Source organism: Homo sapiens, chromosome 20 (assembly GCF_000001405.40).
Source record: "Homo sapiens chromosome 20, GRCh38.p14 Primary Assembly".
Classification (NCBI taxonomy): Eukaryota; Metazoa; Chordata; class Mammalia; order Primates; family Hominidae; genus Homo; species Homo sapiens.
In genome coordinates, this window is record NC_000020.11 from 5,871,766 (window position 1) to 5,894,178 (window position 22,413).

The 22,413-nt window shown below is 42.9% G+C and overlaps 1 pseudogene, besides 2 other annotated features; it reads left to right on the top strand.

The window, feature by feature from the left end:
* Positions 5,384-5,584: a silencer, noted in NCBI's record as "peak4135 fragment used in MPRA reporter construct". NCBI's record gives its function as "represses an SCP1 promoter by STARR-seq MPRAs in K562 erythroleukemia cells {active_cell/tissue: K562}" and the evidence as "EXISTENCE:reporter gene assay evidence [ECO:0000049][PMID:32103011]".
* RNU1-55P (RNA, U1 small nuclear 55, pseudogene) lies at positions 18,290-18,448 on the top strand (annotated as a pseudogene).
* Positions 20,536-20,746: a silencer, noted in NCBI's record as "fragment chr20:5872947-5873157 (GRCh37/hg19 assembly coordinates)". NCBI's record gives its function as "represses an EF-1alpha promoter that drives an FKBP-Casp9 reporter gene in an ReSE screen in HepG2 liver carcinoma cells {active_cell/tissue: HepG2}" and the evidence as "EXISTENCE:reporter gene assay evidence [ECO:0000049][PMID:32094911]".

Here is a 22,413-nt window from a genome sequence, read left to right on the forward strand (position 1 = left end):
AAGGGGGAAGGGGGAAGAAGGGGGAAGGGGGAAGGGGGAAGAAGGGGGAAGGGGGAAGGGGGAGGAAGGGGGAAGAAGGGGGAAGGGGGAAGGGGTCTTCTCCCTCTGGCTAAGGGACCAGGAAAGGAGAACTCAGTGAGGAGAGCCACACCCAGTGGCAGTGGTGGACCCAATCTGCTCACAGCACTAGCACCAGCAGAAATGAGCTTCCAACCACTCCCCTACTCCACAGCCACAGACAGCAGCAGGCCAGTATCCCTGCAGCAGTGGCAACAGAAGAATCCAAACGGGCCAACCCACTTCACATCCCATCTCCACCAGCAGCAGGGGGCTCAATCTGCCCGTATTAGTGGTAACAGTGAAACCCATGCAGGCCAGGTCATCTACTGCTCCACACCAGGTGACAGCAGGTAGGCTCCTTCACTTGCACAAGCAGTGCCAGCAGGTCTGGTGTCTTTCAGCCATTCACGCAGAGGCAGAAGGCGATCTAGGGCATCCCCCACACCCACATAATGACACCAGTCAACCTAGAGCAGTGCCTTCTGCCTCTGTAGGCACCATATGTAGCAACCCAGTAGGAGCTTAAGCAGAGCCCCAAGAGCAAAGCAGACCAGAATAGCACTGCGAAGGCTCAGAAAACACAACTGTCGTTAAAACTATAGCCCACAAAAGTAGGCAAAACTGACACCATAAACCTAAACAGGGCGGTTGCCTGCTAAAATAGAAGATTTATACAGAATCAAGAGTCTCGTAACATAATGTGCAGAATGTCCAGGATACAATTGAAAATGACTTGTCATACCAAGAACCAGGAAAATCACAACTGGAGCGAGAAAAGGCAATCAGCTGACATTGATAGTGAGATGAATCAGATGGTGGAACTATCTGCAAAGATTTTAAAGCAACTCCCATAATGTAGTTTCAGTAAGCAGTTATAAAATCCTTTGAAACATGAAAAAATAGAAAACCTCAGCAAATAAATAGAAGTTACAAAAAGAACCAAATGGAAATCACAGAATTGAAACATGCAGCAACAAAATTTAAAAACTCACCAGGTGGGCTCAGCGGTAGCGTGGAGATGACAAAAGATAAAGTCACTGACCTTGAGGACAATTCCACTGAATTTATTCAATTTGATCAACAGAGAGAAGACGGATGAGGTAGAGGATGGGAGGGAAGGAAGGAACTACGAGACAATAACAGAAGACCTAACATTCAGAGCCCCAGAAAGACTCCAGAAAGATTTGAGGGCTAAACAAGTATTCAAAACATAAGGGCTGAAAACTTCCCAAATTTGGTGAAAGACAGAAACCTACAGATTCACAAAGCTAAGTGAACCCGAAATAGGACTGATCAAAAGAAATCCTCACCAAAACACATTATAATTAAACTTCTGAAGATGAAAGAAAAAAATCTTAAGAGCAACCAAGGAGGAATGCATTATCTATAGGCAAATACCAATTTGAATGAGAACAGATTTTTCATCTGAAACCAGGGAGGCCAGAATGAAGTGGCTCAACATTTTTCAAGTGCTGAAAGAGAAGAACTGTCAACCATGAATTCTACATACAGTGAAACTGTATTTTAAGAATGAAGGAGAAATAAGACAATGTGTGGCCAGCAGTCCTACCCTTAAAGAATGCCTAAAGGAAGCTCTCCAAACAGAAAAGAAATGCCAAAAGAAGACTGGAAGTTCAGAAAAGAAAGAACAACAGAAGGGATAAAAAGAAAAGAAAATATAATAGACTATTCTTCTCCTTATGAGTTTCTTAACTCATATTTGATAGCTGAGGCAAAAAATACAACATCTATTGTGGTGCTTAATAGATGCAGAGGAAATACTTGAGGTAATTATACTTAAAAAGAGAGGCAGGTTACAATATCATGATGTAATAAAAGATACATATTTGTCTCTGGCTCTAGTTTCTCGCACAGAGCTGCTAAAACCATTGTAAAGTCCTGAGCAAAAGACATGCCAAGTGCATCTTTTGTTCTAATATTTGGTCTTTTTTTTTTTTTTTTTTTTTTTTTTTTAGATGGAGTCTCACTCTGTCGCCCAGGCTGGAGTGCAGTGTAATATTTGGTCTTTAAGCCCAGGTCCTGACACAGAGCTCCTAATACCATGGAATTTCCTGGGGGATGGGAGGGTCTTTTGTTCTATTGAGGCAACTCTTGGTGGATTCCTAGGTGGAGGCTGGTGACCAGAAAGACCAAGCCATAAGTAGAAGCTTGAAACTTTCAGCCCCACCTCCCATTCTCTGGGAAGGGGAGGGGAGCTGGAAACTGGGTTAATAGTAGATCATGTAGACATGATGAAGCTTCCATAAAAATCCCTGAACTACAGGGTTCAGAGAGTTTCTGGGCTGCTGAACACACGGTGGGGCAAGGAAAATGATGTACCCAGAGCGGGCAGGGAAGCTCTGCAGCCCTTGCCACAGACTTCGCCCTATGATTCTCTTATCTGGCTGTTGATCTGTATTCTTTATCATATACTTTAATTTTATTTTATTTTATTTTTTGAGATGGAGTATCGCTCTGTCACCCAGGCTGGAGTGCAGTGGCATGATCCCAGCTCACTGCAGCCTCCACCTCCTGGGTTCAAGCGATTGTCCTGCCTCAGCCTCTCAAGTACCTGGGATTACAGGCGTGCACCGCCACGCCTGGCTAATTTTTGTATTTTTTTTCATCTTGTTGGCCAGGCTAGTCTCAAACTCCTGACCTCAAGTGATCACGCATCTCAGCCTCCCAAAGTGCTGGGATTTACAGGTGTGAGCTACCGCACCCGGTCTATCATATACTTTATAATAAACCAGTAGATGTAAGTGTTTCCTTGAGATCTGTGAGCCATGCTGCCAAATTATCAAACCTAGAGAGAGGGTTTTGGAAATCCCAATTCATAGCTAGAAGTATAGGTGACAATGTGGGGCATGAGATTGGTGCTGAAGTTGGGGTCAGTGTTGTGTGACTGAGCCCTTAACCTGCGGGATCTGATGCTATCTCTAGGTAAATAGTGTCAGAATTGAGTTAAATTTTAGCACACTCGGTGTCTGCTGGAGAATTGCTTGGTATAAGGAAAAACATTCTCGTATCTGATCACAGAAGTGTGTAGTGTGTTGAGTATGAGAGTAGAGTAGGAGAAAGCAGTCAGTTTATTTTTTCCTCCCATACACACAGGTAAAGGGACCTAAATGGAAGTAGTGTTTCAGTATGTCACTGAGTGATAAAATGTCAATATAGGATGCTGCAATAAAATATGTGTATATATTTTAACACCTAGAGCAACAACTTAAAAAAAACTATACAAAATGATTTATGCAAACACATATAAATAAAACACCAAGGTGACACCCTCAAAAATGTTCAAGTAACTCCTAGAAAGGCAAATAAAAAACAGATTAAAGAAATACTAAAATGGCAAACTTAAGCCCTGACATATCATTAATCACTTTAAATGTATACAGTCCAAATACACAAATTACAGTATAGATATTGTCAGAATACTCCCCTCCCACAAAAAACAAAAAACCATGGCCCTACTATATACTGTCTAAAAGAAACTAACTTCAAATATAACAACAGGTAGGTTTAAATTCAGGGAATGGAAAAATATATATTACACTAACATTAATTAATTGTAAAAAAATGGGAGTAGTGGCTCACTGTAAAAAAGTGGGAGTGGTGCCTGTAATCCCAGTGCTTTGGGGGGCCAAGATGAGAGAATCACTTGAGGTCAGGAGTTTGAGACTAGCCTGGGCAATATAGCCAGACCCCATCTCTTAAAAAATATATTTTTTCAATTAGCCGGGCATAGTGGCACAAGCCTGTTAGTCCTAGCTACTAGGGAGGCTGAGGTGGAAGGTTGTTTGGGCCCAGGAGTTCAAGGCTACAGTGAGCTATAATTGCACCACCGCAATCCAGCCTGGGTGACAGTGAGACCCTATTTCTAAATAAATAAATAAATAAATAAATAAATAAATAAATAAATAAACAAAAAACAGGGGTGACTATATTGATATCATATAAAATGAACTTCAAAGCAAAGAAAACATATTACACAATTATGAAACAATCAATCTGACAAAGCAATCTTAAATGTATATGCACCAAACAACAGAACTCCACAATTATAGTTTGGGAAATTCAGCACCCTGCTCTCAGCAATTAATATAACTACTTGACATAAAATTAGCAAATATATAGAAGAAATGAACAACACCATCAATCAACAAGATTTAACTGATATTTATAGAATATTCTATCCAGCAATAGTAGAACATACATTCTGTACAAGCCTCCAAAAAGCATTCGGCAAGATAGACAATAACCTGAATGATAAAACAAACCTCAATAAATTTAAAATAATTGAAATCATACAGAGATTTTCTTCAATCATAATGGAATCAAAATAGAAATCAATAACAGAATATAACAGGAATGTCTTCAAACACTTGGAAATTAAGTAACACACTTCTAAATAAATGAACAAACTTCTAAACCCATGAGTCAAAGGTGAAGTCTAAAAGTGTTGCAGGGGAGACACACAGAAATGAATTAAAATGAAAAAATACATCATTTTAAAGAAGGGTGTAGCTTAAGTAGTGCTGAGTGGGAAATTTATAACACTAAATGCTTGCGTTAGAAATTAGGAAAGCAAATTCAAATTTAAGTTCTTAGTTCAAGAAATTAGAAAAAGAAGAACAAAATAGATCCAAAGTAAGCAGAAAGTAGGAAATAATAAAAATAAGAGCAGAAATCAACAAATGTGAGAAAAAGAAAACAATACAGGAAATCAGACAGGGCAAAGTGGCTCACACCTGTAATCTCAGCACTTTAAGAGGCGGAGGAGGGAGAATTACTTGACCTCAGGAGGTCAAGGCTACAGTGAGCCACATGTGCACTACTATACTCCAGCCTGGGTGACAGTGTGAGACTCTGTCTCAAAAAAAAATAAGAAGAAGAATAAAAAAGAAAATAAAAGAAAATCAGTGAAACCAAAAGCTAGTTCTTCAAAAATAGAGAAACTGTAAAAATCACCGATATCACTATTCTGTATGATAGTGGATACATAAACTTACACATGTGTGACAAAATTGCATAGAACTAAATATGCACAAGTGAGTACAAGTCAAAATGGAGAAATTGGCATAAGAGCTATCAGTATCAATGGCAATATCCTTGTTGTAGATATTATACTACAGTTTTGCATAATGATATCATTGAAGGAAACTGGGTAAAGGATAAACAAGATCTCTGTCAGTTTTTACAACTGCACATTTGTCTACATTTATCTCAAAATAAAAAGGTTAATTTTAAAATGTTGAGGGTCAACAAGTTGGGCCAGTTTCATCTGAGCAGTTGGGGTCACTCATGCAGTTTCAGTCATCTGCTATATCACCTGGTGTTGAATGCTCCAAGATGGCCTTGTTTGCATTTCTGGTAGTTAGGGCTGGTGTTGACTGGGGCATTACATGGAGGTAGAGTTCCTAGAGGGCATATCCCACCACACAAGCACTTTTCAAGCCTCTGCTTACATCACATGCCCCATTGGCCAAAGCAAGTCACATGGCCATACTCAGAGTCATTATGGGAAAGCACTACACACGGGCATGTAACACAAGGAGGCATGATTCATTGGCAGCCATTTCTAAAATGATCTCCCACAAAGGGTGAGAATATTTTTCTTTCTTTTTCTTTTTTTTTTTTTTTTTTGAGGCAGAGTTTTGGTCTTGTTGCCCGGGCTGGAGTGCAATGGCGTGATCTCGGCTCACCACAACCTCTGCCTCCCAGGTTCAAGCGATTCTCCTACCTAAGCCCCCCCGAGTAGCTGGGATTACAGCCTTGCACTGCCACTCCCAGCTAATTTTGTATTTTTAGTAGAGATGGGTTTTCTCCATGTTGATCAGGCTGGTCTCGAACTTCTGACCTCAGGTAATTTGCCCACCTCGGCCTCCCAAAGTGCTGGGATTACAGGTGTGAGCCACTGTGCCTTGCTGAGAATATTTTTCAATAATATTTCTTTATGAACATCTATCACTTGGATCTGCTACATATTTTTCTTTTTCTTTCTTTCTTTTTTTTTTTTTTTTTTTGAGACCAAGTCTTGCTCTGTCACCCAGGCTGGAGTGCAGTGGCACAATCTCAGCTCACTGCAATCTCCACCTCCCAGGTTCAAGCAATTCTCCCTACCTTAGCCTCCTGAGTAGCTGGGATTACAGGTGCCCGCCATCACACCCAGCTAATTTTTGTATTTTTTAGTAGAGATGGGGTTTCTCCATGTTGGCCAGGCTGGTCTTGAACTCCCAACCTCAGGTGATCTGCCCGCCTTGGCCTCCCAAAGTGCTGGGATTACAGGCATGAGCCACCATGCCCGGCCTGCTCACATATTTTTGAACACCTTTCCACATTTAGATATTTCCCAGCCTTGGGAAACACCTTTCCCAGCTTCCCCTGTCAATGTGCTACACACACAGGACTTGGCTCTGCCAACCAGACACAAGTGTGAGGCTGAGAGATGACCTGTGAAGAAACAGGCAGGGCATTTGGGCATCCATTGTGTTGAAGCTGAGGCAATTGGAAATAGCATATTTCTGGAGGGGTGGCAACAACAGCTTCTCGACTGTGGCAGAGGTGGTGTGATTCAGGGCTTGGTGAGGGTGAGGGTGGTTTCCTGACCAGGATGAAGGAAGCCTCGTACAGAAGTCAGAGGCAGCCACATTTCCCTTGCCATTCTAGTTCTGTGGTGTGAGCTGGAAAGTTGTTGCTATAATCCCAGCCTATAGCTTATTCCTGTAGCCCTTTCAACATTTTGATGCATTTCTAGCAAATCCCAGTTCCTTAAATTAGCTAGAGTGGTGTGGGAAACCAAAATATGCCACCCCAAAATATACTTCTTTGGCATATTTCAAGTTGGTTATTTGGAAAAGCTGCAGATGGGAATAGCTCTGAAAAAGCTACCCTCCTGTAAAAGAAATTTACATCTATCTACATTAGTAAAGCAAACAGGAGATGCAGGCACAGGCTTTCTCTGAGGTTCTCTTATCCATATCTAGGAAAGAGTAACTCACAGGAAAATGAGACTGGTGGTCTGACACTTTTATCTTTGTTTATTTATTTATGTTAGTTAGGGTCTCACTTTCTCACCCAGGCTAGAGTGCAGGGGCATGACCATGGCTCCCTGCAACCTTGAACTCCTAGGCTCAAGCCATCCTTCCAACTCAGCCTCCTGAGTAGCTTGGATTATAGGCACATGGCACCAAACCCAGCTAATTTTCTTTTAATTGTTTTAGAGATGGAGTCTTGCTATGTTGCCCAGGCTAGTCTTGAACCTCTGGCCTCAAGCAATCCTCCCACCTCAGCCTCCCAAAGCAGTGGGATTACAGGTGTGAGCCACCATGCCCAGCCTGATACTTTTAAAGGTCTGACAGAGAAACCTTTACCACAGGCTGCCATCTATTTTGTTCTCAGGACTACTGTCTGAGAGATTTCATCTGCATAGTAAGACAGGCTTTGCTTGACTTGCCTTTCTTCCCTTCACCCTCCCATAACCTGTTACCACCTATCCCCAGGAGCCCCAAGCTCCTATTTCTTTCCATATGGTATAAGAACTTCAGTCATCTGGCTCTTCTTTGAGTCTCATATTTTGTATGGCTTCTGTGCATTTGCATGTAAATAAATTTATATGCCTTTTCTCCTATTAATCTGTCTATTGTCCATTTGTTTTACAGACCCAAATTATTGAACCTTCAGAAGCAGGGGGAAGAAAAATTCCCTTCACCCCTACAGTGGATTCTGTTGTCTGCAGGTGGTAACGCTGGTGGATAAAAATCTCTTTTTGAATTATCAGCTATATGTCGGTCTTGCCTATTCAAAAATAAACAAAAATGTAATTTAAAAATGAATAATGTAAAAGGGTGTGATCTAAATCTTCCCCAATCCCTGTTTAATGTCTGTCTCCCAAGCAGTCCCTCTCCCTCCTGACCTTGACCTCTCATTTTTCCCTGAAGCACAATCTTGAGCCCTGCTTGATCCGTATGAAACCGCTATTTTTGTTGGTCAAAATAGCCAAGAACTAGCAATTCCATAGTCTTCAACTTCACACTTGCCATTTGTATTAGTCTGTTCTCAAGCTGCTAATAAAGACATACTTGAGACTGGGTAATTTATAAAGAAAAGAGGTTTAATTGACTCACAGTTCCACATGGCTGATGAGGCCTCACACTCATGGCAGAAAGAAAATGAGGAGCGAAGTCACATCTTACGTGGTGACAGGTAAGAGAGCTTGTGCAGGGGAACTCCCATTTATAAAACCATCAGCTCTCATGAGACTTATTCACTACCGTGAGAACAGTAAGGAGGAAACTGACCCCATGATTCAATTATCTCTACCTGGTCCCTCTCACTGCACGTGGGAATTATGGGAGCTACAATTCAAGACGAGATTTGGGTGGGGACACAGCCAAACCATATCATCATTCTTTGGAATTTATCTTCCCTCAAAACTCCAGCTATTATTCATCTGCCAATTTTCAAGTCTTTACCAAGTTTCTATCCTATATAACTCTAATTTCCCATGGAACATTCTACTCATATGTGTCCTTGTCGCTTTAAAGAAAATGTATAGAAAATCAAATGTATCCTCTTTCCCACAAGTTAATATTCTCATTTGATGCCTCTAATCTATCCATGGCACTAACATTTGCTGTCACTCAGGCTTGACGAAGTGTGGATTCATTATGACTTTTACTTCTAAATGTCTCACTGTATACAGCAAGAAGTGGTGGTTAAGAGCTGAGACACAGGAGGCGGCCTGCCTGGGTGTGAATTTTGACTTGGCCATTTATTAGTGTATGTCCTTGGGCATGTTATTTAACCTGACTGTGCCTCAGCTTCCTCAACTGTAAAACAGGAATAACAATAGTGCTTAGTTCAGGAGGCACAAATGAGTTCAGATTTTTACAGACAGTTCCTGACTTATAGCTCAACTTAAGGTTTTTTATCTTTACAATGGCATGAAATCATTCAGTACACTCCTCAACTTTTGATGGGATTACAATTTCATAAACCTATCATAAATTGAAAATATTCTAAATCAAGCAACTTAAGATATTTTCAATTTATGATGGATTTATCGGGATATAACCTCATCTTAAATCAAGGAACATCTATATAGTATTCAGAACAGCACCTAGTATATAGTGGTTTTTTTAAATTTGTTTGTTTGTGATGAAGTTTTGCTCTTATTGCCCAGGCTGGAGTGCAATGGCTTGATCTCAGCTCACCGCAACCTCCGCCTCCCAGGTTCAAGCGATTCTCCTGCCTCAGCCTCCCAAGTAGCTGGGATTACAGGCATGTGCCACCACGCCCGGCTAATTTTGTATTTTAAGTAGTAACGGGGTTTCTCCATGTTGATCAGGCTAGTTTCGAACTCCTGACCTCAGATGATCTGCCCGCCTCAGCCTCCCAAAGTGCTGGGATTATAGGTGTGAGCCACCGCACCCAGCCAGAAAGCACTTTGGGAGGCCAAGGTGCACAGATCGCTTGAGCCCAGGATCTTGAGACCAGCCTGGGCAACATGGCAAAACCCTGACTCTACAAAAAAATACAAAAAATTAGCTGGGCTGAGAGGCGTGTGCCTGTAGTCCAAGCTACTTGGGAGGCTGAGGTACGAGAATCACCTGAACCTGGGAGATAGAGGCTGCTGTGAGCCATGATTGTGCCATTGCACTCCAGCCTGGGGGGCAGAGTGAGACCCTGTCTCAAACACACACACACACACACACACACACACACACACACACACAACCTCTTACACCTGCCTTGTCTTTTTCTTCCCAACACCATCACCTGCATCATTTTCATCTCCTTAAGGACCTCCTGAAGGTTTTCCCTGCTGCCAGTTCTCCCCTTTTCAGCCTCTTCCATTCACTGTTGCTACCACGTTGATTTTCCCAAATCACCGAGGGTATCCTATCTCATCCCCCACAGAAAGCTCCTTAATGCCAACAAAAGGAAGCCCCACCACAGGTCCACACTGATCGAACCCAGATGTCCTGCCCTCTCCACATTTCTGAGACTGGACCCGCCAAAACATTCCTTTCCTTCTCTAGCTCCCACGGCTCTACCCAGCTACTCATTTGCACTTTAACTGCTACACAGCAGGACTGTCCTTTAACTGTTAACATGTGTACATCTGCCTTCCTTGAACAGGCAGAAAGTTCTTGAAGGCTGGAGAGCTTATACCACCCATACCAGGCACAGAGTAGTGCTGGGTAAATAGCAACCAAGACGTAATTTTTTTCTGTATTCACACTTCCTTTTCAGCTTCCTGGTGGAGTCAGCTTGACAACATCTTTCTCTTTCCTACAACTGAAACTATAATTTTAAAACCAAGAGCAAGGGGCCAGTGTCGGAGATGGGTTCGTACCTTCTGAAAGACATCATGGTGGAAGGAAGAGTCCAGTTGCAGGCGTGAGAGGCTAAAGCACTTCCATTAACGAGCAGGGTGTCCAGTGAGGCTCATCTACCTCCTCTGAACTTCATTTCCGTGTCTGCAAATGAGGACATTAACAAAGCTCCCGGTCCCCCTCAGGCTTAAACGTTCTGTGACAAATCTCTAAGAGGGTGGATTCGGGAAACTAATTTTCAAATTAATTGAGCAGTGTGGAGTTATTGCACGGAGAATTAAACTGCTGTCCATAACAGTTCATTTCCTGAGTTTGTTTATCAACCACTGTTTAATAGGCACTATTTATTCTGCAGTATCATGGGTGGAGTGCTATGGAGACACAGAAGTTGTATCTCACCAGATCCATAGCTTCAAAAAGTTTATTATGTAATTAGAGTTTATTATATAATAAAAGCTCACCAAGCTCATGATCTGGCAAATGGCATTGTTTGTTTACCTAAGCCTTCTTTTGTAAAATAAGAAAGTTTTACTTGAATCATTATGTATAATACCCCTGGGAGCTGTGTGTTCTATGTGTCATTTCTATGTTATTTTATTTGAAATACACACACACACAGTATGTTTCAATGTAAACATATGCATTTAAAATGTATATTTTTAAATATCTCCATCAACAGGCTGATTTTTAAAACTTTTCAATATACCAAATAATGTAGATTTTCAAATATACACAAAAATAGAGAGAATTGTATTATGAACTCCATGTACTGATCACCTACCTTCAACAGCCATCAGCTTTCTGCCATTCTTTTTCAGCAGATCCCACCACCACCTCCCTCTGTGTGTGTGTGTGTGTGTGTGTGTGTGTGTGTGTGTGCGCCAAGACACTGCTCCTCAAGCTAAGGACTCTTTTGTTCAATTTCCGATCTGCCATGGACCAATACCAGCACACAGCTCACACCCAAGCCACACATAACACACTATGCAGGTTTGACAACACCCAAACTAAGTTCTATTCTCATTAGAGTCCACCACTCACTACTTGGATGCCATGGCAATGTCAAAGTACTATAGCCATTTCTAAATATTTGTTGTCAATTTCTGCACTTATTACAGACCAAGAGCACACAATTTGCAAACTGGCCCCAATCCTCAGACTTTGAGTAGTACTGCATGCGCTAGAGTATTTTAAAATAAAATCTACGGCATTATTTTATTGCAGCTGCAAATTCAGCATGTATCTCCAATGGATAAGTATGTTTTTGTTGTTGTTGCTCTGTCACCCAGGCCGGAGTGCAGTGGTGTGATCTTGGCTCACTGTAGCCTCTGCCTCCCAGGCTCAAGTGATCCTCCCACCTCAGCCTCCCGAGTAGCTGAGACTATAGGTATGCACCACCACACCCGGCTAATTTTTTTGTATTTTTGGTGGAGAAAGCATTTCACCATGTTGCCCAGGCTGGTCTGGAACCCATGAGCTCAAGCAATCTGCCCGCCTCGGCCTCCCAAAGTGCTGGGATTATAGGCATCAGCCATGGTGCCCAGCCTTGTACTTTTTAAAAACAACCAGAATATAATACTCCCAAGAAAATAATCAATAATTCCTGAACATCATCTACTATTTAGTCCATATTCAATTTTCCCCAGTTGTCTCAAAAATGCCTTCTTACAGTTGGTTTGTTTGAATCAGGATTCAAACAAGGATTTTGCATTTGGTTGACATACCTTTTAAGCCAAACTATAGTAGTCTCTCTCTCCTTTAAAAGCTGCTTTTAAGCCACTCTCCAAATAGATTGGTTTACCATTAACTATAAAAGGTTTCCTGACCCATATTGCTTCAAGCAGTTTTTCCATGCATTTGCTTTGTGCCACAGTGTGACTGTGGCTTAAAAACCAATTACTTCTTCCCCCTAAAAATGCCCATTATCTGTGCCTATTAGAGGCACATTTACATTCCCCAGACTTTTTGCCAGGGCACCAGAACTATTTAGATTACCATGTATTAAAAAAGTGCCAGTCACTCTCACTGTCTTATCACCTCTGGTTCTCTTTGTCTCCAATGGGCCCATTCATTGAGCAGATATCTGTGCATGTTGTTAAATGAACCATGGATGTTCTTGCCCTTGATGTACCAAAGCAGTGTTTACCAGGTACATTCATTTCTTCGGGGACCTATGCAGACATATAGTGGGCATAGTGGGAAAGTGAGGAACTGAATATGACTTGAGATACTCAAGTGATTTGATTTGGACCAGACCCATCTGTGGCTGTCACACAATGACATCTTTTTCCATACTCGTCACCACTAAGGCTACAGGAGCTCAGGTAGCTTTGGGTCTTCACTGGCCAACATTTTAGGAAGAATCATAGAAAAATCATAGAACAGAAAAATAATCTCAGCAACTATGCAGTCAAGCCCCCGAAGGGTTGGAGACAAAAGCCCCCACAGCTATCTAGATGCCTCCTGGACAAGGGCCCAGGTCTCTGACCTCCAGAGGAAGCTCTGTGTATATGGGATATCAATTTCTATGCCACTCAGGGTTCTCAGTTGCACATAACAGAAGAGGATTCTGGCTGACTTTAATAGAAGGATAGTAGGTGGCTAATAGAATTGACAGGATGGGTAACCAGGTTTTGAAATCAGGCAGGCTCTGAGGGAGGCCAGGCAGCAAGGACACAGCCTAGGCCATGCTTCAGGGGCAGTCTGGGTAGGATGTCCCTAACTGTGGCTCTGCTGCCACTCTGGCTGCTGGACATCAACACAACTGAACACAGGAGCCAGATGCTGCGGCTGCTTGAAATTCTAAACTATCCCTGAGTCTAAATTAAAAGTCCTGGTGTAGGCAAAAGAAAGAGAGATCAGACGGCTGCTGTGTCTATGTAGAAAGGGAAGACATAAGAAACTCCATTTTGACCTGTACCCTGAACAATTGCTTTGCCCTGAGATGCTGTTAATCTGTAACTTTGCCCCAACCTTGAGCTCAGAGAAACATGTGTTATATGGAATCAAGGTTTGAGGGATCTAGGGCTGTACAGGATGTGTCTTGTTAACAAAATGTTTACAGGCAGTATGCTTGGTAAAAGTCATCCCCATTCTCCAGTCTCGATAAGCCAGAGGCACAATGCACTGCGGAAAGCCGCAGGGACCTCTGCCCTGGAAAGCCGGGTATTGTCCAAGGTTTCTCCCCATATGATGGTCTGAAATATGGCCTTGTGGGATGGGAAAGACCTGACTGTCCCCCAGCCTGACACCCGTGAAGGGTCTGTGCTGAGGAGGATTAGTAAAAGAGGAAAGCCTCTTGCAGTTGAGAAAGAGGAAGGCCACCGTCTCCTGCCTGCCCCTGGGAACCGAATATCTCGGTATAAAACCCGATTGTACATTTATTCTATTCTGAGATAGGAGAAAAACCGCCCTGTGGCGGGAGGCGAGACATGTTGGCAGCAACGCTGCTCTGTTATTCTTTACTCCACTGAGATATTTGGGTGGAGAAAAGCATAAATCTGGCTTACATGCACATCCAGGCATAGTACCTCCACTTGAACTTATTTGTGATACAGATTCCTTTGCTCACATGTTTTCTTGCTGATCTTCTCACTATTATCACCCTGCTCTCCTACCGCATTCCTCTTGCTGAGATAGTGAAAATAGTAATCAATAAAAACTGAGGGAACTCAGAGACCGGTGCTGGTGCTGGTCCTCTGTATGCTGAGCGCCGGTCCCCTGGGCCCACTGTTCTTTCTCTATACTTTGTGTCTTATTTCTTTTCTCAGTCTCTCGTCCCACTTGACAAGATATACCCACAGGTGTGGAGGGGCAGGCCACCCCTTCATCCTGGGTGGGAGCATTTGATTTGCTGAGACTAGATAATATGACTGTCCTCTAGTGGCCAGGGACCAGCAAAAGGGCATCTGGCTCCGCTCCTTTCTATAGTGGGAAGTAGATCCTGCCTGCCTTCATGACCACATCACAGAGGGAAGGGCATTAGGATGCTAAGTAACCCCTACAACCGCAAATGACTATTTCACCTCCCCATTTGGACTTCTGTGAGCATATAGACATCACCAACAGTTTTGTTTTCGTTTTGCTTTTCTTGAGACAGGGTCTCACTCTGTCACCCAGGCTGGAGTGCAGTGGCATTATCATGTCTCACTGCAGCCTCTGACCTCCTGGGAACAAGCAATCCTCTAGCCTCAGCCTCCTGAGTACCTGGGACTGCACGCATGAGCCATTATGCTTGGCTAGTTTTTTATTTTTTAATTTCTTGTAGAGACGAGCTCTTGCAATGTTGCCCAGCCTGGTCTTGAACTCCTGGGCTCAAGCAATTCTCCTACCTTGGCCTCCCAAAATTCTAGGATTAGAGGCATGAGCCACTGTGCCTGGCAGTTACTTTATTTCTACAAAACATGGAGGCATTTCCTATCACTCCTCAAATGAGTTACACCCCCCACAAAAAGCACTGTTCTAAGTGCTGAGTTTGCAAAGGCTTTAACCTCACTGAAGGGGAAAGAATTTCTTCTTCTGTCTCGCTAGTTCACTGATTGCCTCCTTCTGGCCCAATGTCTGGGGGAAAACCAAAGATCAATGTGTCCACTTGACTTTTGCTCAGATGCTTAGTGTGCAGTTAGCTTCCAGGAGCATGGAAACTTCTTCTCCAAGGGTTCCATTAGTGATTAGACGTGCACTTTAAAGTATGTCATGCTGCCACGTATCAGACTGGGACAGAGATGAACTGGAACATGAGAGATGTGTTGAGGTGACAGCCAGGATTCTGCCATTGTTCTTTCAGTGTATTTCTGATGCCTCTCAAATTCCATAAGGGGAGGTGTTGATGTCTGTGGTTAAGTAACATGAGGCCAGAGCTGACGCTGTGGCAGCTGCTCCCAAAGGCACAGAGTTTCTTCGTTGCCAGGAAAAGATGCCCTTGAATTTTCTGGGCTGAGGTAAGAAAGTTTGGCAGATCCTGCCTTCTCTGCTTTCTGTTTGCCTTAATGGATATCAAGATAGAAAATAAGGAGCCAGAAGGACCTTCAGAGAATCTATTCACGGCCTGTGTGTCTTAGGCTCCCCCCAGAAATAGACTCTCCGGCACAAATTCAAGTGCAAGTAGTTTATTTGAGTGGGAAAGCAAGGAACTGAGACAGGAGAGGGAAAGAAGCAGTAAAAGGTACATTATCAAGCAAGTTACCACTGTGGGCATCTGGAACTTAAGCCTACTGGAGCCAGTGCAGATTGTAAGCTTCAAAGTTATCCTGCAAAAGGAGTAAGGCAGCTAGGGTATTTAAACACCAGTCCCCATCCATCTTTGATTGAAGGCTGAAACTGGGAGGGCACTAATTTCCAAGTGCTTCCAGCTTGCTGTGTGAATGGGCAAAGCAAGCTCTGGCCACCAGACAAAGCCCTCGGGCAAAGAGGCAGATGCTGGCAGTTGAAAGTCAGGTGCTGTGGCACAAAATGCTAAGGCCCGAGGGGGCATGGGCAGGGCACCCAAAACATCTGCTGTACTGTGTCCACTCTCATCCTCCAGACTTGTGGACAAACTTCCTGTTCATCATTCATTCAAAGCCCAGCATAAATCTTCCCAGAATCATCCGGGCGTGGTAGCTCACGCCTGTAATCCCAGCACTTTGGGAGGCCAAGGCAGGCGAATCACCTGAGGTCGGGAGTTCAAGACGAGCCTGACCAACATGGAGAAACCCTGTCTCTACTAAAAACACAAAATTAGCCTGGCTTGGTGGTGCATGCCTGTAATCCCAGCTACTCAGGAGGCTGAGGCAGGAGAATCACTTGAACCCGGGAGGCAGAGGTTGTGGTGAGCCAATATCGCACCATCGCACTCCAGCCTGGGCAACAAACTCCGTCTCAAAAAAAAAAAAAAAATTCTTCCCAGAATCAATCAGGAGGTGCACATCCTCCACCAGATTCCTAATTGGTACAGGTGGTTTATTTCACTATTTACTGCTCAATAACTCTCTACCCGTGTTGCAGAGTCACTCAGGTTTAATCTTCTTTCAACCCTGCCAGAAAACTCATCAGCAGCCCACAGACCCTGACCACAGCCCTGGCATAACTGAATAAATGCTGACTAATTGACTAACTCTCATTTCCTTCTATTCAGCAAATGTCCTGGATATTTGGAAATGCCACAGTTCACAGCCAATGCACTTTCAGCAGGTCCTGAAAAATGATTTGGAGAGGTTTACAATTTGCTAAATGTGTTGAGTCTGGGATTGGTAGAGAACCATGACCTTGGGAGAATAGAATGTTTCTCTTCTCTGGGACATAGGTCGGGTTCCTTCGGGACTATGGATAGAATTTGCTTAAACTGTGGGTCAGCTAGTTGTGAGTTGGCAACTTGGGGATGTCTGTGAGAGGCTGGGATTGTGGGGAAAGCAGAAACACTTGCTTAGTTTTGTCTGGTGTGCGAATATCCTACTAAGATTTACTGAAGGAATAGAAAGACCATCTGAGGTTTCCCATGTGATCTTATATTAATGAAGGGATATCTTTGAGTCTCATGTCTTGCTGGTTTTCATCATTCATTTTTTTTTCTTTTTCACCCTGAGTATCAGCCTTTAATAGAAATTGTGATATCTCAGGATCAGGTGGTTACATCAAAAAGAACCTTAATAGGTCACCTGGGCAGTCTCTCAGTCTCCAGGCTATACCGTGCTTAAACTATTCCTAACAGGACGCTGCTTATCCACCGTCTGGAAATTTTTCCAAAAGTGGGGTCAGGCTGGGTGCAGTGGCTCACTCCAGACCGACCAGCCTGGCCAACATGATGAAACCCCATCTCTACTAAAAATACAAAAATTAGCCCGGCTGGTCTGGCTACTCGGGAGGCTGAGGCAGGAGAATCGCTTGAACCCAGGAGGCAGAGGTTGCAGTGAGCCGAGATCTCGCCATTGCACTCCAGCCTGGGAGCAGAGCGAGACTCCATCTCAAAACAAAACAAAACAAGACAAAACAAAAGGGGGTCAAAGAAATGCCATCTGCATTATCAGCACATATAGTTTTCTGCCCAGATCATAAAGTTTATAACATCTGCCTTATTTATATCAAATATGTCATCTATGTCAATGTTTACAGCTATATCATTTATCTATAGGCTGTATCTTATAACATCATTTGCCTCTATATTTACACATACTCTGCCTACATCTGTGTTCACAGCTTTATCATCTACAGCTACATTTTCATCTTTACTATCTACATCACCTATACCTATGCTTATATTACATCATTATCTACATCAACATTTTTATCTACACCTTCTGTACCAGTGGTTCTCAACTGGAGAAACTTTGCCCAGGGACATTTGGCAACTTCCAGAAAGACTTCTTATTGTTACAACTCAGGGTTGGGGGAAGAAATGCCCTCAGCATCTAGGCCAGAGATGCTGCTAAATCCCAGGGATACTGCTAAATCCTGCAATGCACAGGACAGTCCTTGACAACAAAGATATATCCGGCCTAAAATATCAATAGTGTTGAGGTTAAGAAACTCTAATCTACATCACCTACCTCATCTGCATCCATATTTACAGCTATGCCATGCACATCTGCATCTATATTTGCATCTACTCTATCTAAATCTGTGTATATATCTACACCATCTACTCTACATTGGCATCTACGTAGTCGACAGCTACCTCTACAGCATCTACAATATCTATGTCAACTACATCGACGTCATCCACTCCATGTACATCATCCACATCTACGGGATCTAAACTTTGCATGCACATCTATATCTAATTATATAGATGATATAACAATCAACACATGCTTGTTATATCAAAATGAGTGGTCCTTTTAGACTAGAAAGCAAATCTAATTTTAATTTTTCCCTCCACTGGCCACACACATAAAACGTGAGTGGAACAGATCCTTACCTGGCAGGGGAGATACCATGATCATGAAGGTGGTTTTCCCAGGGTGAGGTTCCACTGCACTCCAGAGGTGCTGATCCTGTGATTTCCCCAAATGTGGGAAACGCAACTGCATAATTTGTGGCAGTGGGAACTATGTTCTCACTATCCCCTGTTTTTGTTGTTGTTGTTGTTGTTTGTTTTTTGTTTTTTTTGAGACGGAGTCTCACTCTATCACCCAGGCTGGAGTTCAGTGGTGCAACCTCGGCTCACTGCAAGCTCCGCCTCCCGGGTTCACGCCATTCTCCTGCCTCAGCCTCCCGAGTAGCTGAGACTACAGGCAGCCGCCACCATGCCCGACTAATTATTTTGTTTTTTTTTTTTTTTTAGTAGAGAAGGGGTTTCACCGTGTTAGCCAGGATGGTCTCGATCTCCTGACCTCGTGATCCACCCACCTCGGCCTCCCAAAGTGCTGGGATTGCAGGCATGAGCCACCGCGCCCAGCTCTCCCACTTTTTTAAAAAAGGGAGTAGAACAGAGGCCAATCATTGTCTATTATACTCCTTAAAGTATAAGAGGCATGAGCTGTTTTCCAACTTTGTCCTTGCTAGCAAACACCTCAATATTGTTGGTTTATGGGCTTTGATAAGCAACGAAGGAGGCTTCCATTTTGATTTGGGTCGAAGTGAGAAGTTAAACACGTGCCTGATAAATTTCATTCCTGCTCTGTCTTTGCTTGCCAGCATCCCGGGATGAGAGGGCATCAGATGCAGAGACACTTGTGTCACAATTCATCACAATGGTGATAAAGAATAGTTTCTTCTCAGAAGAGCGATCACTGCACTTAGAGAACCTGATATGGTTGATCACATCTTGTTCCACCGGAACTGGTCTGGGCTGGAAAACACGCAGTTGACACATGGGAAGCCGCAGATGCTGCTATTTCACCCTGGGCTCTTTGGGCCTCAGAATAGTAAAAGACATCTGATTCCATGACCAAAACAGCAGCTCGGGTTGCCACGTTCAGTTAAGCTTCCTTAGGTACATGAGCTGATTTGTCAGCCAAGATAAAAGTCAAGTGATGTTTCTAGATGAAATTGAGAACACGGGAGATAGACAAACAAGAGCAAATCCCTGTGGCTTCTTTAGCCTGTGACATTTACTCAATAACTTCGCTTCCTGGTAGAAACCCATGCCTCCTGGAGACCATTATTTTTCCTCCAGGAACAAGATTGGCCTGAGGCAAAGTTTCAAAACAGACTCTTACTCACCTTTTTATATTCTCATTTTTTGTAGTGTTTTCAAATTCTCAATAAATATTAATACTAATACCTAGAACTTGGAAATGAGAAATCGGAAGTTATTTACTCATTATTCTGGATTTAACATTTTTTGTTTGTTTGTTTGTTTTGAGACTGAGTCTGGCTCTCTAGCCCAGCCTGGAGTGCGGTGGCACCATCTCGGCTCACTGCAACCTCCGCCTCCTGGGTTCAAGCAAGTCTTGTGCCTCAGCCTCCCGAGTAGCTAGGATTACAGGTGCCCCCTACCACGCTCGGCTAATTTTTGTATTTTTAGTAGAGACAGGGTTTCACCATGTTGACCAGTCTGGTCTGAAAGTCCTGGCCTCCAGTGATCCACCTGCCTCGCCCTCCCAAAGTGCTGAGATTACAGGCATGAGCCACCGTGCCTGCCTAGATTTAACTTATTTTAATAAATAAGAAATATTCTGTCTAGTAGTATTTACAAAGAACTATAACCTATTGCAAATATCCAAACCTTGTCAAAGGCTAGCAAACATTACTAAGTAGTTTTTGAATCAAATCTAGCCCAGCAAAGTTAACAGCATTACATAGAAATCGCAATTCAAAATCATCAATTTATAGATTTTTTTGCTTCCAAAAGTTGTTATTTCTTGGAACATCACTCTTAGGGTCTGTGTAAAGTATGCTATAAAAAGTGCAAAGTTCTTTTTTCAATTTTATTTTTAAAACTTTCTCTTTGTTTTTTTGAGATGGAGTCTCTTTCTGTCACCCAGGCTGGAGTGCAGTGGCACAATCTCGGCTCACTGCAACCTCTGCCTCCTGTGTTCAAGTGATTCTCCTGCCTCAGCCTCCTGAGTAGCTGGGACTACAGGCACCCGCCATCATGCCCAGCTAATTTTTATACTTTTAGTAGAGACAGCGTTTCACCATGTTGGCCAGGCTGGTCTCAAACTCCTGGCCTCAGGTGATCCACCTGCCTCAGCCTCCCAAAGTGCTTGGAATACAGGTGTGAGCCACTGCACCTGACCTAAAAAGTGTAAAGTTCTTAATATTTATTTTATTTGCAAAAACGCCTCCCAGTTAGCAGCAGACAGGGCCAGGAACACATGCTTGTAACATGGTATCAGTTATAAGCAAGGCAGACTGATCAGCCCATGGCACCTTCTCTACATGTGCTCCCTGCCTTGCTCTCAGAAACGTTGACCTCAACCTTCAACTGCTATGTCAGTTGATCTTGCCTTCAGTGGATCCCTCGATGAATCTCTCAAACCACTGGGGCCTCTGCTGATTGTTAAGCTTTAATTCTCGCAGAATTGCAATACATTTTTTCCATTTTCTCAACTGATTTGTCTCAGAATTTGGGATGTAGAAGAGTATATAAATTGTCCAGAAATGCTGGGAAGGAATTTTCTCATGGCCACACTACTCATCACGTCATCAGTGGGGACTCCCTCTTTCCTGGCCTGTTGCTCTGACCACCCAAACTTCCCTTCTACCTGGTCCGTCTCGGCTTACCCTTTTCCCTTAATCATTTAAGCTTCAAGGATACACACTCCCTACCAGAAAAACTCCAGGATTCTCCAGGCTGGACTTTAGACTTGAAGAGAACAGCAATCCAACTGAACTATTTCACCCTGAAGTATGAATAACTAATATGCCTTCTGTAGGAATTAGAAGCATAATCAAAATAACAAATATTTCTGCAAGTATGGGAAAAATAGTCCAACAAAGCATTCCCTTCAGCGATAGCAGAAGCAAAGGTTTTCAAGGGCCACCTAGATGATAAACTGTGGGCACTGGGCTGGATGTGAGACCGTAAAGAGTGGTGGAGACAGAGTGTGGTCAAACTTCAACTAAAGGCGTTTGAATTCAAATGTTTAAGACAACCAACCAGTAAGAGCCAAACATAACTCACTTTAGTGACAGCCAAGCTTGGCCCTCAGGCTACTAGTTTTTTATCTCTCTGTTGAATACTCCAGTGAGATATGGGCCTAATGGAAGCCAATTCTTGTTGCTAAGCCAACTTCAGATCCCAGAGAGTTAGAATCACAGATTAAAACGTTCTAACCACCATAATTAAAAAAAAAAAAACCAAATAGGTAAAATGTCATCATTTTTAATGTTAGACTTTTAATAAATTTAGTAATTAGATGAGAAAAATCATGTCCCATATGTAGGCTACGTATTTGTAAACAAGGTAAGGTGAGGAATTCAGAAAATTATAATTACATGCTCCTCCCATTTAACTAGTGCACATACGTTAGAAATGTTCCCTTATATTACATAATTGGTTGATCACCCTTATCCGTATACAAATTCAAATGAAATCCTAATGGTAAAATGAGAGCATAGCTCACTGCACTACAGCCTTGAACTCCTGGGCTAAGCCATCATTCTGCCTCAGCCTCCCGAGTAGCTGGGACTATACATAGGCATGCACCACTGTGCCTGGCTAGTCACTGGCTTTTTATCCATTAAATATATCCTGAATGCAGTGCAATACTCACCACAGTAGCTTGATGTGATTCTTCCCTTTTAACTCTGTTGGAAACATTTTCACAGTCGAAGTTTGTCTTATGTGTACAAATGTGCACAATGTTGTCTCCCTGTGGCCTGCTGTTCTAGTAACCAGATTTTTATTCCCTTAACTGTGACATTTGACTGCAATGCTGCATAAAAGGCACCATTTGGGGGGAGAAAAGATTTTAATCAACATATACCTCAGCTGCTCTATCTCTTCTTAACATGATGGTGGGTTTCCTCCAATACAAAGGGTCTCAGTTCCCCTATAGAATTTTTCTTAGCATGTCTGTGATTACTTGAAGTGTTATTCGTTAATGACTTCCAAATCTTTCTACCAGGTTAAGGTGATCTTTGC